A 17,828-nucleotide genomic window follows, 5' to 3' on the forward strand; every position below is an offset into this window, starting at 1 on the left:
ACCACTCCTATTCAACATAGTGTTGGAAGTTCTGGCCAGGGCAATCAGGCAGGAGAAAGAAAGAAAGGGTATTCAATTAGGAAAAGAGGAAGTCAAATTGTCTCTGTTTGCAGATGACATGATTGTATATCTAGAAAACCCCACTGTCTCAGCCCAAAATCTCCTTAAGCTGATAGGCAACTTCAGCAAAGTCTCAGGATACAAAATCAGCCTGCAAAAATCACAAGCATTCTTATAAACCAATGACAGACAGAGAGCCAAATCATGAGTGAACTCCCATTCACAATTGCTTCAAAGAGAATAAAATACCTAGGAATCAAACTTACAAGGGATGTGAAGGACCTCTTCAAGGAGAACTACAAACTGCTGCTCCACGAAATAAAAGAGGACACAAGCAAATGGAAGAACATTCCATGCTCACGGATAGGAAGAATCAATATCATGAAAATGGCCATACTGCCCAAGGTAATTTATAGATTCAATGCCATCCCCTTCAAGCAACAAATGACTTTCTTCACAGAATTGGAAAAAACTACTTTAAAGTTCATATGGAACCAAAAAAGAGCCCACATTGCCAAGTCAATCCTAAGCCAAAAGAACAAAGCTGGAGGCATCATGCTACCTGACTTCAAACTATACTACAAGGCTACAGTAACCAAAACAGCGTGGTACTGGTACCAAAACAGAGATATAGACCAATGGAACAGAACAGAGCCCTCAGAAATAATACCACACATCTACAACCATCTGATCTTTGACAAAACCTGACAAAAACAAGAAATGGGGAAAGGATTCCCTATTTAATAAATGGTGCGGGGAAAACTGGCTAGCCATATGCAGAAAGCTGAAACTGGATCCCTTCCTTACACCTTATACAAAAATTAATTCAAGATGGATTACAGACTTAAATGTTAGACCTAAAACTATAAAAACCCTAGAAGAAAACCTAGGCAATACCATTCAGGACATAGGCATAGGCAAGGACTTCATGTCTAAAACACCAAAAGCAATGGCAACAAAAGCGAAAACTGAGAAATGGGATCTAATTAAACAAAGAGCTTCTGCACAGCAAAAGAAACTACCATCAGAGTGAACAGGCAACCTACAGAATGGGAGAAAATTTTTGCAATCTACTCATCTGACAAAGGGCTAATATCCAGAATCTACAAAGAACTCAAACAAATTTACAAGAAAAAAACAAACAACCCCATCAAAAAGTGGGCGAAGGATATGAACAGACACTTCTCAAGAGAAGACATTTATGCAGCCAACAGACACATGAAAAAATGCTCATCATCACTGGCCATCAAAGAAATGCAAATCAAAACCACAATGAGATACCATCTCACACCAGTTAGAATGGTGATCATTAAATAGTCTGGAAACAACAGGTGCTGGAGAGGATGTGGAGAAATAGGAACACTTTTACATTGTTGGTAGGACTGTAAACTAGTTCAACCATTGTGGAAGACACTGTGGCGATTCCTCAGGGATGTAGAACTAGAAATACCATTTGACCCAGCAATCCCATTACTGGGTATATACCCAAAGGATTATAAATCATGCTGCTATAAAGACACATGCACACGTATGTTTATTGCGGCACTATTCACAATAACAAAGACTTGGAACCAAGCCAAATGTCCATCAATGATAGACTGGATTAAGCAAATGTGGCACATATACACCATGGAATACTATGCAGCCATAAAAAATGATGAGTTCATGTACCTTGTAGGGACATGGATGAAGCTGGAAACCATCATTCTCAGCAAACTGTTGCAAGGACAAAAAACCAAACACTGCATGTTCTCACTCATAGGTGGGAATTGAACAATGAGAACACTTGGACACAAGAAGGGGAACAGCACACACCAGGGCCTTTTGTGGGGTGGGGGGAGGGAGGAGGGATAGCATTAGGAGATATACCTAATGTAAATGACGAGTTAATGGGTGCAGCACACATGTATACATATGTAACAAACCTGCAGGTTGTGCACATGTACCCTAGAACTTAAAGTATAATAAATATATATATATATATATATATATATATAAAACAACTGCATTTCATTTGAAATGTATAAAGAGAAGGAAGTTGAAATTGTATATGTCTCAAGTTGTGCTGTAAATGTAGCCATGTAAATGAGCATAATTATTACTTTGTGGCACCCTGTTAGTTTTTCACACAGGTAAAATATGCTCTCCTAAGGATATAAAGTAAAAGCCTAGTGTTGTCTGACTGAATTTGTGATGTGCTCATTATGTTGCTCACTACTACTCACTAAATAAAACTAAGTGATGTTCCCAATGCATGGACACTAATAATTTTAGTCTTCAGTTCCCCCATAAAATTAATATTGAGTAATAGTTCCTAGGGAGCCACACACAAGCAGGTGAACGTGTGCTCGCATACACACGCACAAACAATCACCCATAAGAACAGTGCAGCTCCTGCTGTACCTAGATTGTTTGCAGACTAAGAGAAGCAACTGCAGAACAAATTCTGGTTCTCACTCTGCCTCCATAAAAGAGGTCTGGATTAGAGGTGCTCCTCAGTTATTTAGAGCTGGAGCAAACAGAAGGCCTAACTGTGCAGATGAACTTCTCATTCTTTTATATGAGGCAGCAAAATAAACACCTTAACACTTCATGGTTCCCAGAGTGCATTAGTTACTCGGTCCAATATCATTCTAATTCTCCTCGTAGTTCATTGAATTTGAGCCTGTTAGGAGATAAAATGTATCTTTAGCTACTATGTACTTATTCCAATGACTCTTTGGTTGATGGATGACTTTCTGATTTTTTGAAACAATGCCAGCCCAGGGCCTTGTGGTGGCTGTACAGTGCATGAGACCTCTTGTTGTGCTTCGGGGTGCGGGCTGGAAGGGAGGGAGGGAGGAAAAGAGGGAAGGAGGGGGCTCTGCTGTACGAGGTCTGGCTCAGTCATTTTTAAAATCAATACTTGCTCTCCAAGCCTTGGATAATTTAGAGAACATAATTCAGAATTTTCCCTTTCAGCATGTATCCTCCATCAAGGGGGTGTTTTCATCTAGAGTCAGCACAATGCTTGTGTGACCCAGGAATGCACAGATAAGGTTAAAAAGAAAGAAAGAAAAAGTGCATTTTATTCTTTCTCTCTCTCTAAGCATCTTTTGGATCTCGCATATGTGTGTTAGTATGCCTCATTGTGAGTATCTCTACTTAGAACAGAGAATTGAAATCATGGTGGCTCTTGGTATTACTTCATATTTAAAGCTTTTGGTGGGAGGGAGTTTTCCATTATAAACCCTTAGCCTAAGGGATATCAGCCTTAGATAATTTATTCCCAGCAGGTCTAATATAGGATGCAAAACTTTCAGCCGAAGGGCTGTTAAATTCTGCTTTTCACCTCATTTCCAGAAAGTGCCATCTACTGTAGTGTTTTGCTGTAGAGATAAAATTTTGTGTTCCTATGTACAGAAACAACAGCTTCATTTGCTTAAAAACCGGCATGACGCCTATTATTTAATCCTTCAGACTCTATTCACTAGGTTGCTCTAAAAAAGGAGCCCCAGTGGAAAACATCTTGGTCATTTAAGTACAAAGAGCTTGAGATTTTACAGCAATTTTCCAATACTAATTACATTTCATACTATGTATCATATGCATGGCTTGCAAAACTCTATTGATTTTAATGGATACTAGTGCATTGGGAACAGGTTATTTTATGACATCTTATATTAGAGGACCTCTATGAAATACCTAGATCTTAAAATGTGGGCACAAATATACCCTCAATTATCCACAAGTGGATTATCCACTTGCTCTATTACCCACAACATATTTTAAATTAAAGCTGCTGTCATTAGGTGACTCAGTAGCCCTAGGCCAATTTCTATCATAACTTCTCTGTGCAGCCGGAAATGCAAACTCATTTTGATAGCCTTTTCTAATATGATGGGTGGGAATATACTATTGGGGTTGTTGCCAAAAATGTAAGTGTAAAAGACTTTGACATTGTGTTTTGTTTTGGATAACCCTTTCAAATTAGCAAGATTCCTTCCCTCAGCAAGAAAAATCAAGATAGCAATTACAAGCGTGGGCTCATCAACCTGTTGTAAATATAAAGTATCTCAAGAAATAGCTTTGCCTGGTGCTCTCTGTAAATGACTGGCAAAATAATTTGGGCTGAAATGCTACCTGATTTATGAGGTCTCCCTGCATTTGCCATTCATAATTGTTCAAGTCTTCTTCTGGGGAAGCCTTGAGTAGTGAAACAAAATCATGTGCTTTGGAATCAGGAAGATCTGGGCCTGAATTCTGTTTCTACAACTTCTTAGCCGAGCTATCTGGAAAAAGTAGTTAGCCTTGCTGAACTTCACTTTCTTTGTATTTTTAAATAGCCATAACAATATCTATGAAAATAATATAATATATGTAAAATTCATAACTGAGTGTTTGGCAAATATCATGCACTCAACATACGCTTGTTTCTTTCCCTTTTCCTTCCCATATCTATTTTTCATTAGATTCTGAGTTCCTTCAAAGTTGTAGCAATATTTAAGTCATGCTTGACACTATAGTATTTAATAAATTCCCTTAATATTTTGCTCAATTAAAGTCTGAATTTGATTTTTTAAAGTTTTATATCTAAAATAGTTATTTTCAAATTTCCACAAATTGGTTAAAATTATTTTACTGTTCATTTCATAGAAAGAATAAAAGCTGGGTTGATGTTTTCATGTGTAAATATCAGTAATTAGGCATGCGGTTTTCCTTGAGTACACAAATTTATCCTTAAGAATATTCTTAGCAGGCTGGACATGGTGGCTCATGTCTGTAATCCCAGCACTTTGGGAGGCCAAGGCGGGAGGATCACTTGAGGTCAGGAGTTCAAGACCAGCCTGGCCAACATGGTGAAACCCTGTCTCTACTAAAAATACAAAAATTAGCGGGGCGTGGTGGTGCACACCTGTAGTCCCAGCTACTCAGGAGGCTGAGGTAGGACAATTGCTTGAACCCAGGAGGTGGAGGTTGCAGTGAGCTGAGATCGCACCACCACACTCCAGTCTGGGCAACAGAATGAGACCACGTGTCAAAAAAAAAAAAAAAAAAAAAAAAGAAGTATCTTATTAGCGTATATATGGCTGTATTATATGTGTATTATACATGTATGAAGACCAAGTAGCAATGAAGATTAATAGCAGAAAAGACTCCTTAGCAAGTTCATAAATTCTTTTATTGCTTCTAGAGCTATTGTCAAGGCTACATGTTAAAATGAACATTTTGGTGTGATTAACATAACAGGTATTTAAAATGTACAATATTTTACATTTTAAAATTAGGGACATATTTTAAAGTTAATTTTCTGTTGCTATAACAGAATACCTGAAACTGGGTGATTTATAAAGAACAGAAGTTTATTTGGCTCATGGCTTTGGGGGATGGGAGGTCCAAGAGCATGGCACCAGTATGAGGCAAGGGTCATTCCACTGTGGAAGGGTAGAAGGTAGAAGAGTGGAAGATGGAAGATGGATCCAAGTGCTCAAGACAGACAGCAAGAGATGGCCACTTTTTTTTTTTTTTTTTGAGACGACATCTTGCTCTGTCACCCAGGCTGGAGTGCAGTGGCACGATCTCGGCTCACTGCAACCTCCACCTCCCGGGTTCACGGCATTTTCCTGCCTCAGCCTCCTGAGTAGCTGGGACTACAGGCGCCCGCCACCACGCCCAGCTAATTTTTGTATTTTTAGTAGAGACGGGGTTTCACCCTGTCAGCCAGGATGGTCTCGATCTCCTGACCTCGTGATCCGCCCGCCTCCGCCTCCCAAAGTGCTGGGATTACAGGCATGAGCCACCGTGCCCGGCCACTTTTATAACTCACCCACTCCTGTGACAATGAGGACTCAGCCCTCATGACCTAATCACTTCTTAAAGGACTCACTTCTCAACAGTGTTACATTGGGGATTAAATTTCTAACGCATGAATTTTGGGGGGACACATTCAAACCATAGCAGAACACAATACAGCAAATCTTCCACAGACTTATAATTTTAATGTAAGCATAAGTCCTTAGTGAAATGAACAATTTATTAACCCTGGGAAGTTAAAGATTTTTTTCATTGTGTTTTTTAGCCATGAACTACCTCTTTCTCCTTTGATGTGTCCAGTTGAAGTATCATAGTCATTGCTTAGCTATTTAGTTTGTGCCTTCTCTGTCCATGGTACTGAATGGTTCTGGCAGCAGTAATCGAATATTGCAACAAAGCGAAGCCAGGATAATTATGGTTACACTTCTGTGTGTTAGGTGACTGGCAACAAAACAGCAATATTATTCTTTTCAATGTATTTCTTTGTTTAATTTTTGAACCACATGTTAATTTTATTTAAATACTATGATTATAAGAATATATACTTTAAATATAGAAATAGTTTGCCCTTTATTTACACAAGAATACTTTTATTTACAGATCTTTGATGCTAAAAGCAGAATGGACTGAGAGATGCCTTGGACATAAGTGATTTCACATCTGTAACTATATCCTGCAAACATTTGTAGACACATCTTGGGAAAGAAGCACTCATGCTTGCATCTGTTTCCAACATCTGTGCATTTAAGTCAGCAACAAAAGTCACCAGGCATTTGAGCTTTCCCTGCTATAATGTTTCTGATTTACCTTGACAGCGTGAGTAATCCAATCAAAGACAATATTCCTCTTGATTTCAGTAATGAGAGAGACTACACTTATCTGAAACCTGTGTTACATTCATCTCACCAATACAGTACTAATGAAAAGGACAAATAACTGAGTCTCTCTTGGTGGCCTGCATGCAACTGCTTAAATACATAAGTGCATAGCAACAATATGTGAATAACATATAAAAATAAATATGTTCAAGTGCAGCAGGGTGAGTGGGTTTTGTAGGGTCAGTGGCGTGAATGGGGGTTAATTTCTGTTCAGTCAGGTGAGGTACAAATGCATCAACTTTGCTGGAAAATAGTTCCAATTGTGGCTAAATGGTCTAGTTTCCTGCAGGATACAAGCAGCCTATTATTTAGTGTTTTAAAAGGCTTGTTCAAATTTGACCATTTGTATGGGAATCAATACAACAGAGGATGGGGACAAATATCAGAGGTCACACCAAGCACATCATCAAGGGCAGGTCCAAGTGCCCATAATTTCTCCAATAATCCAGGGGACAAAACCCCTTTTGGTCTGGTGGCACAAAGAGCTAGATGGTCTATTTTGCTATGGCAGGCCTCATTTCATTAGAGATAAGATGACTTAGAGTAGGAACCGAGCTTGGAGTCCTTTGACTACCTAATTTTCTTAAGCCATGATTGAGATGAATCAGGAGGAAATCAAACCATTCTTTAGTAAATATGGGCCCACCAGAATAGCTGTATGGAAAAGGCAAGCTGCTACATGTGTTGTATGTAAGTGATGTAGATTGCCTCCAAAATCTGCTGAAATTAGTCAGAAATGTGACAGATACTTAGGTTGTGTAGGTGAGGTGGAGTTATGAATGAATGAGGCAGATATTCCATTGTGGTTTGAGAAGATAACTTCTAGCCCATGTATTTGTACATTTACTTATAATGAGTTTTTTAGTCTTGGGAACATTTGTGTAAAATTATGGTACACACATACACACACACACACACACACACACACACACACACACACACACACAAAAGAAATCTTTCTTTTGACACCTAAGAAAGAGTCCCAAATCACAGATGTTGAATTACTGGAATTTCACTTGGCAAGGCATATGTCTGAATCATTTGAGTCCAAAGATAGGATTAAATTGCTCAAGTTTTCTTTGAACAAAAAGAGAGCCATGATAATTTTACTTATATATTTATGTTTTGCAAACAACAACAACAACAACGACGAAAAACAAATGTAATTTAGTAACACTCTAAAAGGTATGATTTTTTTGGGGTACAAATTACCAGGACTGCCAAGTAACTGCCTCATTCTCCACTTTACCTGTCTTGGGAACCCACTTAACATTTTCAGTGCAATAAGATCTATTAATCTTGACAGACTTCAGTCTGAGTTGATTCTACACCCTAGATCCCTTTGCTTGAACAGGTTTTTGTTTTGGTTTTGGTTCCATGAAGTTTTTTTGGACTTACGCACCAAAGCATCCTTGCACAAATCAGTCCTTCACTTCCTTCCCAGGCATGGATCAGAATGAGTTTTGATACAGTGGGGAATCTTTGGCTAACTCCACTAAGTAGGTGCCATCTTTGAGCTGCAGACCAACAGAAACATGGCCTAGAGAAAATGAGTTCATGGTTTGATCCAGTCTTCAGTCTCTATTACACATGCCTTACAGCTACTGGCAACTGCAAAAGAGAAATCCTGCCCATTTGGTAAAAAATTTACCTGAACATGAATCCACTGTAGGGCCTACCTCTGTGGGCAGTGACAGGAAGAAAGGCAGCCAGACTATCCATTCCTGACAATTCTGTCTACAGATTCCTAGGGACATCTTGCTGGGGAAATTGCTCACCAGTGAATATTTGTTATCAAAGATTTTTAAACAGAAAGAATAAAAAAGCAGGCTGTGAAGTGTTTGCTTGTGTACTGAGATTCATGAGATAGAGAGGCAAGACATGAAAAACGTATTTTGTATCTATATAAGAAGTAACCAGTTTTGTGAGGAACTCTTTGAGGAACTGAGAAGTGAAAAACTCTTCAGTTAGAAAGGTGTTTTATTACATTTGTCTAAAACATCTCTTAGGCACTATAATAACGCACACTGAGTAAGGCTGCCTTTAAAAAAATCTAGAGTTGTCAACTTTTCTTGTCTATTGTAATTTAATGGCATTTAAATTTCTACTTTTATCAAAATTCATCTATAATGATTGTATAGGATCATAACTTAAAATTATTTTAAAGAACCCGGACATTTTCATTTTCTTGGCTTGGAGGATACTTTGCATTTTAGGGATCTCCGTAATTTTTTCCTTAAAAGAATTTGCAGTTCTTTTATTCAAGTAAGAAACACTTCTAAGCCTCTCTATTTTGCACTATAGGAAAAACTGAAATGCATTCTAGTGTCCACCCCACCCTCCCCCACAGCCCGAGTCACTTCGTGGGCCTCATATCTCTTAAACCACCTGCTAATCATAACAATTGCTAATTTGAGCCCTTTTTAGTCACTTCTGGTGACAATGACAATGCCATCTAGTTTGCAATGGCCATGTGGTCAGTCCCCCACCCATCCTAGCAGGCTGCTGCTGTGCCTTTAGCTGGGGTCTCCATTGTTCTCCCGGCCTCTGCTGACCATAAGCAATTCCTTCTTCCCTAATCTCAGGGGATCTGCTTCTTGCACAATGGGGGCAGGGCCATTTGCTTTGTGTGCAAGATAATCTTCCACAGAATTTTTCACGTATGCACACATACACGTTAAAAAAATGACCTCTTTGGATGTGGGAGGATATATATCTATATATAGGTACACACATATTAATACATGCACAGAAACATTTTTGTGTTAGCAATAACGATCTCTTATCAGTCCTGCCTTACACCTAGAGAATTACTTTAAAAATCTGGTAGCCGAGATATTTGCAAGTCTCTCAGTAATATCTTTTAATATTAATTATTTGGGTTTCTTTATGCCTTTTAAAAATTTTGTGATTCTTTTCTTCTTAGACATGATAATGTCTAAGTTCTTCTTCACCTTAAGCGGCTGGAAGCCCCTGCATATCCTGCCCAAGCCTCAGGAAAGCATATTGGGAATGAATGTGAGACGGAGGTAGATGCGTGTCCGTGGCCTGGATGGATGATTGGAATTGAGGAAGAATTGATCATCTAAACTCGGCAGGGCTGCGCTCTACTCGGGAGCGTCTCTTGGCTGAATAGCAGATAAAATTTACTGGATTTCCATGTCTGAACCTTTGCGATCGCACTCTGTACTCCACTTTGATGGATTTAAAGCTGGTCATTATGATACATGGCAAGTTGTAGCAGGAATAAAAGCGGGTCCTTTCAACCAGCCATTTTAATCAGGAAACAGTGTTACTCTGGCATCATTAAAGCTTGCCATATGCCATAGAAAGGGGTGAAACATACACTTGACTTTTAGGGCAGATTAAAAAAAAGTTTGATTTTACGGGGAGGCAGGGAAGAAGCAACCCAATAATATATTTAAAAATATTTATCTGTCTCAGTAAGCAGGGCGAATTTTTAAAAAGCCCCCTTTAGAATTGTGTCTCTCCTTTCCCCTAAAATGTTGAAGCGAATTAAAAAGAAAAAAGCTCCGCTGCGTCATTTCGGTTTTGTTGGGAGCGGCGAGGCTCCGGGGCTGCTGAGCACATCGAGAGCGCCCCCTAGGCGCTGGCACGTGGCTCTGCAGGAGGAAGCCACCGGTCGATCATCCCTGCGTTTGTCAGGCGCCCAAACCCACACACAAAGCCCTGGCACAGGCGGCGACGCGGCCTCTCTCCGCCCCCTGTCTGAGGAGGGACTCGGAAATGTCTCCACTTGTTTCAGAAATTTCCCATCGAGGCAGCACTGGGTACTCTTTTTGTGTGTACTTATGACAAAAATGCTTTGGAGAGTGATGGTGAAATTAAAGTTAAACGTGTAGCAGTCCAGATTGGTGTCCCCATTAAGGCTTAGGGCACAGATTCTGTGCCTCCGGTGCTCTGGGATTTGACTGGCCCTGCCTCATTTAGGTGGGAGCGTCCACTCTGGATATCTTGGTGGGGGCAAGGTTGTCTCTACTCTGCAAAAAGGATGAATGCCTCTTTAGACTTCTAATCTGACACTGAAGGAAGCCACCTGAGAATAAAAAAAAGACACTGAATTTAGAGACCAAAGACTCCAATTTTCACCCTGGCTCTCTTGCTTAAATGCTGTGTGACTTTGGACAAATCACTCCACTTCTCTGAGCTTCAGAGTGGTTGCTCCATAAAAGGAAGGGATTTGATCAGACATTTTCAGTGTTTATGCCCAGTTATAAAGCATGTCTTAACTTTAACACTGAACACGTTTGCTTTAAAGTGTGTCCATCAAGCCAACACAACACTTCATAGAAGTCTCGAAAGATCTAAATTGGTTAAAAAGAACAGAGTGCATTTGTTTTGGGGGGCGATGTGTATTGGCTGCAGCCAGCAAAATGTCAATTCAATGGACTCTGTGGCATCTTCATAACCAACCTGAATTCCTATTTGATGTTAGTTACTCTTCAAAGGTGAGCCAGTTGTCCAAACTGAGCAATGTTCCCCTCATTCTGACCGTCGCTTTCTGGCCACATTGATCCAAATGGTGGTGTTCTCATCGTCTTGATCATCCCCACTGGCTGGCCACCCAATCACTGATGGATAAGTGTTTCTGCATTCACAGGATCACCTGTGGGCGCTTCCCTGGGTTGGCAGCCCCTGGAATCACTTTTCCTTGAGACCAGCTCATCTGCAGGTGCTTGTTTATAAAGGTGCCAGGGAAAGACTTGTTTTTGTGTGAAAGCTGCTCTGATGTGAGCAGTTGAAGGAGATGGACCTATGTTCCTGCCTGAGTAGGGATAACAGGAAAGTTACACAGGGGTAAGGCCTGTGATAGGGGCTGAGGATGCAGACCATAGATATTGGGACGCAGGTGCCAATGTAAGGGCAGAGCCCAATGCCTCAACAAGATGAGCACTCTGGGCTTTTGGAAAAGCCACATAGACACTTACCCACTCAAGGGTGGTAATTTGTGTCTATCAATAATAATGATGGTACTACTGATTACTTTTTCTTTCTCAGTTAAAACTCTGCTCTCTTTAGCCTCTGTGCATTTGACCAAGTAGTTCACTTACCTGAAAACCCTCTTTGAATTTGTCCAGTTGGCAATATCCCAGATTAAAAGCTTCTGTGCCAACCAGGTACTCCGAGCTCCTGAAGCATCCTCTGATATTGCAATATTTTTGTTATGTGATCAGCACTGATAGTTAGCTGGTATACACTGGTGTGGCCCCACAGTTGTTAAAATATCAAAGTGTTTATGTTCTGGCTAGTAAACAGCTACAGCCCAGGCCCAAAGAATGCCTCCCATTTCCCTCCTCCAGCCCTCTCCTAGTCTTCCCAAATTTCAGCAACTCAGCAGTTAAGACTTGCCCATCAGAGACGGGACCTCTGGGACTCAATGTTGTGTCCAGCCTCTGTTGACTGGTTGGTGCCTGAATCTTACAGCCTTTTAATTATAATTATTCTCTTAATTGCTTCCACTATAGAATGTGAGTCTTATTCCCAGTGCCAAAAATATATAGTGTCTGGAACTATGATGGTTGATGGAATGGACTTTTTGAGCATTCTTTTCTGTACCAGATTCCAGGCTAGGGGATTTGCATACATGACAGGAAGTCAGCAGTAGTATTATTCTCCATTTCATTCTCATTGTTGGAGAAGATTCAAGGAAGGATATAATTTCCTGTCCAGTAACCAAATCTTACGTTGCAGAAAGTAAAGTTGAATTGTCCTAGAAGAAGAGGCGCTCCAAAAGGTGAAGGGAAAGAAATAGTTTGACCATGTGTGTGGGTGATTAGGGGTATGCGTTGGGGGGTGAGTAGCAAATGGTCATGCCCTACTGGCATGCAACATCCAAGTGGGGCAGGCTTTCCAATGAGTACTACCTTGATGTTAGAAGGTGGGTGGATGGTGATGATGATTAGACTCTAAGCACTATGGCTTTTGTGGTGAGCAATCTGGGTGTCCTCACTTTGTACAGAGGAAGGAAATCCTACTGCCTTTAACTGTCTTACATGGTTTTGGGCAATGACATTCAGAGGTGATGATGATGGGCCAGGGTTGAAGCTCTGCTTCTGTTTTCTGATGCCACAAACACCCCATATTCTTTTCTAATTCCTTAGAGAGATTGAAGAAAGTGCTCCAAGAATAATAGAGGCTGATTTTTTTTTCCTTTCCACCATAGAGATTAGGGGCTTAGAGCTATATTCAAGATTTGATTTAAAAAATAAAGCAATATGACATCTCTTTTATCAATATAGCAAATTCATGCCAGCACCATGTATTATTTCAAGAAACATGTAATTAGGCTCGAAATCTAGAGCTTTCTTGCAATCATTTTGTTTTGTGCATGTGGGCTTCAGCTTTTATGGCAAGATTTTTGGTTAACTAGTTCTTTAGAGGTAAATTTTAGGTGCACATGGTCCATGCATGTAAAGTTGTCATGTCGTTCTGTATTTTTATATTTTTCTTTTTAAATCTTAAAGCAAATTATTATAAATCCCTTAAGTAACCTCACTTGTTACAGATGTCTCATGAATATCACATCCAAAACCTAGTATCTGATCATGAAACTTGATTTAAAAGCAGCAATTTCTTCGCCATTTCCAGAGAATTACATGTTTAGGGGAAAACAATTTAAACTCAGTGTATTACAGAAGCAAAATAATTCTTTTCAGAACCTTGTGTCAGTCGAGTAGACAATCCTCTTGGTTGGTTGGCTTTTGTTTGGTCCAATTGGACTCAAAATATGAGCATGAGGCTGGGCGTGGTGGCTCACGCCTGTAATCCCAGCACTTTGGGAGGCCGAGGTGGGCAGATCACTTGAGGTCAGGGGTTCCAGACCAGCCTGGCCAACATGGGGAAACCCCGTCTCTACTAAAACTACAAAAATTATCCAGGCGTGGTGGTAGGTGTCTATAATCCCTGTTACTTGGGAGGCTGAGGCAGGAGAGGGAGGGGAAGGTTGGAGTGAGCTGAGATCACAACACTGCACTCCATCCTGGGTGACAGAGTGAGACTCTGTCAAAAGGAAAAAAAAAAAAGCGTGGGTCATGGATATTTGGGGAAGCATGTATGGCTTTAAGTATCATGTTCTCAGAATGGTATTTGGAATTGACAATATCTAGAAAATAAGGTGATAAATTTGGGACAACAAAAACTTTACTTAAATTAATAATACTATATGTCAGAGCGCATAGGAATAATCATGGCGGTTAACTTTATACCCATTTCTCAGATATGGAAACTTATATTCAGGTAGGTTAATTGCTTTTGGATAATGGCACAAGGTTAATGAGAGGAGGGAGGCTGGGACAAAACTGGGCTCCCTATTCTTCTTCTGGTGTAGTGTCACTATACTGAACAGTGTATATAGAAGCCAGGGATCATATTGGGCTGGCAGAAGGGGAAGTGACAAATTGTGGTCAATGTAAGGTCCATGCAAGCCATTGAGCACATTTTCCGGGCATGGGCTCAGGAAGGCAGAAATGTGGGGGATGCAAGACCTAGAACTCATTTCAAACACTAGCTGAATGGTGCTCAGAACACTTGAATTGGCCCAGCATACATGTGATGAAGTGAGCCATACTCATTTCCACACAGGTTCTGTTGCTTCCAGTGAATGCTCATCTCTGTTGCTTGTGTGTTTCTACATTTTCTCATGGGCTCCAGCCATTTCCTCAGATTCTCCACAGAGGGGATTCTAGGCAAGGAAGGAACAGTCTATGTGCAATCCCTGTCCGATGTGAAAGACACAGGGAAGAAACTTGGCCTCGTTAGAGTGCATGGCTGGGGCTGGGGTGCTGCTAGAAGTGCACATGGAGTGGCTACCTGCTCCTCCCTTGTGCTCCTTCTACACATGCTGTTTGTGTCAAAATGGACACAAGTGCAGCATTAGAAGTCAACATGCAGTTACCAGCCCTGGTGTCTGTGAAGGAAGAACTAGGACTCATATTCATCAGCAAATGCAGCTGAATATGGTCACAGCTGTTCTTGGTGTGTCACCTGGCACTTTGGGTTGTAGTTTTATCAACAGAAACAGAAGTTTAGCTACTCAGTGGTAGAACAGAAATTCTGGAGGTCATATGGTGTGGTGAGTGAGGGCACAGTTGTTTTTGGTCACATAGGCCTGCATTCTGGCACATAGTAGCTCTGTGATCTTAGGCAAGTTTCTAAATCTTTTTTTTTTTTTCTCACTTTCCTCCTCTGTAAAATGGGGATAATAGTGACTACATCAGAGAGTTGTTGAGAGGGGAAATGGGAGGATGTATGGAAAGTACTTGGCAATGGGTTTGACATGTAAGTGTTCACCAAAGGGTAGCACCACCATCATCACCATGAGAGTTCAGATTTACTGTGGGACTGGAATTGAGACTAGGAGAAAGGACAAGTTTAAGTCACCCTTAGGTTATGATATTGGTGATTACAGAGAACAAAAAAAGAAAGAACGAAAGGACAAAGGAAGGAAGTAAAGAAGAAAGAAAACAGCCACAAGCTCTTCTCTAATCCTGCCTTCACCTTTTTAGTATATATACATGTATATAATGGTGAGTTCAATCTGTCTTTACATCAGCTGATGCTTTAAGTCATTGTGTTCCCCATTAGGAAAGATGATGGTGGAAATGATTCCGTGGCTGTACTTACTCGAGTATGATTTAATATTTGCTGGGAGGACATATCCACTTTCATCACAGCTTGTATCAGACCAGATATACAAAGACATCCCTCAAAGACCACATAGATAATCTTTTTAGATGTACAAAGCTGCTTTAGAATTCACAGAGCTCCCGGAGAAATAAGCAGAGGAAACATTGCTATCTGCATTTTATGCATGGGAAAATTGATGCTTAGAGAACATAAAGCATGGGAAAGCCCCTAGCAAGTTGCGTAGCTCCCAGCAGATGCTGATTTCCTTCCTCATCATTCTACTGAGAAACGGTGAAGCTGGAATTAGTCCCTGAGTCCACTGGCTGCTGGTCTATGCTCTGTTCACCTCACAGCTGCCTTTCCCAATATCTTAACTTTGGGTTGGAAGAACACTTTTTTGAATGAAAGATCTTCAGACAGAAATCTCTCCTTGTGGTCTGGGGCTGGGAGTGGGTGCTCAAACCCTCTCTAGGCCCTTTGCCTACCCTGGCCCAAGTTATTTGTGGAATGCAGGGTCCCTGATCCTAGCTAAAGCACCGCTGTCTTTACTGTGTGATGATCTATTATCATGCTTTTACTGAGTTTGAAATGGCATCAGACTTGCATGAGATTTCTCACCTGATTGCCAGGTGGTTCAGGAGCTGACAGCCCAGAAATTCCCTGGAAGTACCTGTATTTTGAGAACTGTAGTGTGGGCATTTACAGAGCCTGATGTGAGCTGAGGCTATCCCAAGTGAATGAATGAACTGGATCACTGACTTCACTGCGTGTAGAACAAGTCACTGGTGTTTTCTTCAGTAGATAAGGCTCTTATTTATTCTTATTAATCATTCTCCCTCACCCCCAATTAATGCATCGGACAATGGATTTAGGGGGTTTGTGTCCATATTAAGAGTTCCATTTGTGAAAGAGAAAATATTATAAAACAATATAAACCTTAGAACCCCATATTTGTTTTGTTGCGACAAATTCTAAGTACTTCTCTGCACCTGGAGGTCTGTTGCTGAAAGAAACGGTTATCTAAAAATAGATTTGTTCTTGGAAACTGACTTAGAAGTTCTGTCAGGCTTTCTTTTTGCACAGGTCAGATTTCCACAGCCAGGCAGTTTGCCAGACAAGGCAGCCCTCACTCTTCTCCTCACCCTGTGTTCTCTGTGGCCTTGCTATCCAGATAGCTCCTTTCTTTCTGCACTCCCCTCTGGCCTCTGACCTCCAGATTGTTTCGGGGGAAGCTCCCATTTGGATAGCAAGGTACTGAGGATAAACTGGTGAGGAAGAGGGCGTAGAGCTCTCCACTACTGCTTCATAGCCTCTTAAACAATGCTAGGGGCTGGTTCTTCTTGAGTTCCAAAGGCCACTGCTTCTACCTTTAGCTTTTGAAAGAGAGATGGATCTTTCATTTACTTTTCTGTTTGCAACATAATGCCCATTTATTTACTCATTGGTTCATGTATTGAACATTCACATGTATAGATTTTTCAGCAGCTACTTTATGCCAGGGTCTGAAGACACGAAGTTTTACCAAGGCAAATTTCCTGCATTCCAGGAGCTCATTGTCCAGTGCATTATAGGACTCATTGTTCCTTTCACTGCAGGGAGGAACTATATCATGGAACCTCTTTTCCTATTCTTGGCTTGTATCCCCTCACTCCAAGCTCCCCCATCTCTCACACAGCCAGATCACAGACAGCCTCCTGAACTAAGCCCTTCATTGCCCTTCGTCCATGAAGCTTCTCATGGTCACCCCCACTCGACACCTTCCTCTGGACATCTATCATGTTTTGATTCACATGACTTTTATTTCTACATTTGTCACATATTTATGTATATGTCAATAAATCCAAAACTATAAGCAGGTTTCTATGTAATAGGTACTCAATAAATATTTGTTAAATGTCGAACACATGTTTCTATCTTTTATTTCTCTAAAAGCTGCTTTCAGCTAAAATGAGGGTGAGTGGCTGCCTGAAAAAGACATAGTGGGTCATTTCAAGGTTAGCAAAACAAAAGTCTTGGAAATGAAAGTGTTACAGCCCTTTGGGGCTATGCTGCCAGTCCTATGCACAAAAATAGTAGTGTGTGTTGTGTCGTGGTGCCAGAGAAGGGAAGAGAGTGGGATGGACTTTCCTTCTTCCATATGTAAAACGGTTTGCCCATCTTCTCTGGAGAAAAGATCTAGGTTTACAAATATAATAACAATCCAATTAACCAAGCAGAAAAATATGGTCTTCTGGTAAATATTTAAGCAAAAAAAAAAATCCCTTTTTGTATTATTTCTTTTTGGACAGTTTGCCAAAATGTCCACTTCTGTGGTTTATGAAATACATTAGAGGGGCTATGATGGTAACTAAAGACTTTCAATACATTTGGCTCATCATTTTAAACATTAATTATGAGTGTGCTGTATTATGGGCATAGGTATAAAAGGTATAAGAAATCGCGTCGCATTTA

At 40.6% G+C, this 17,828-nt stretch overlaps 1 long non-coding RNA gene across 5 annotated transcripts in view, besides 2 other annotated features; it reads left to right on the forward strand.

Moving 5' to 3' along the window:
• Window positions 1-17,828, forward strand: part of LOC107983981 (uncharacterized) — a 417,903-nt gene that overhangs the window by 383,423 nt on the left and 16,652 nt on the right. For 3 of the 5 annotated variants that reach the window (XR_004837530.2, XR_007064641.1, XR_001751548.2), the window contains one exon: window positions 6,454-6,887. The exons of 1 other annotated variant lie outside the window; for it this stretch is intronic. This is a non-coding gene — a long non-coding RNA (uncharacterized LOC107983981). Of the gene's footprint in view, window positions 1-6,453; window positions 6,888-17,828 lie in introns of those variants that run through there. One more of the 5 variants, XR_932257.3, reaches the window with a different exon arrangement.
• Window positions 16,318-16,612: an enhancer, noted in NCBI's record as "tiled region #13260; K562 Activating DNase matched - State 10:DNaseD". NCBI's record gives its function as "activates a minimal TATA promoter and a strong SV40 promoter by Sharpr-MPRA in K562 cells {active_cell/tissue: K562}" and the evidence as "EXISTENCE:reporter gene assay evidence [ECO:0000049][PMID:27701403]".
• Window positions 16,318-16,612: a silencer, noted in NCBI's record as "tiled region #13260; HepG2 Repressive non-DNase unmatched - State 23:Low". NCBI's record gives its function as "weakly represses a minimal TATA promoter and a strong SV40 promoter by Sharpr-MPRA in HepG2 cells {active_cell/tissue: HepG2}" and the evidence as "EXISTENCE:reporter gene assay evidence [ECO:0000049][PMID:27701403]".

The sequence above is a fragment of the Homo sapiens genome, chromosome 15, assembly GCF_000001405.40.
Source record: "Homo sapiens chromosome 15, GRCh38.p14 Primary Assembly".
Taxonomy (NCBI): domain Eukaryota; kingdom Metazoa; phylum Chordata; class Mammalia; order Primates; family Hominidae; genus Homo; species Homo sapiens.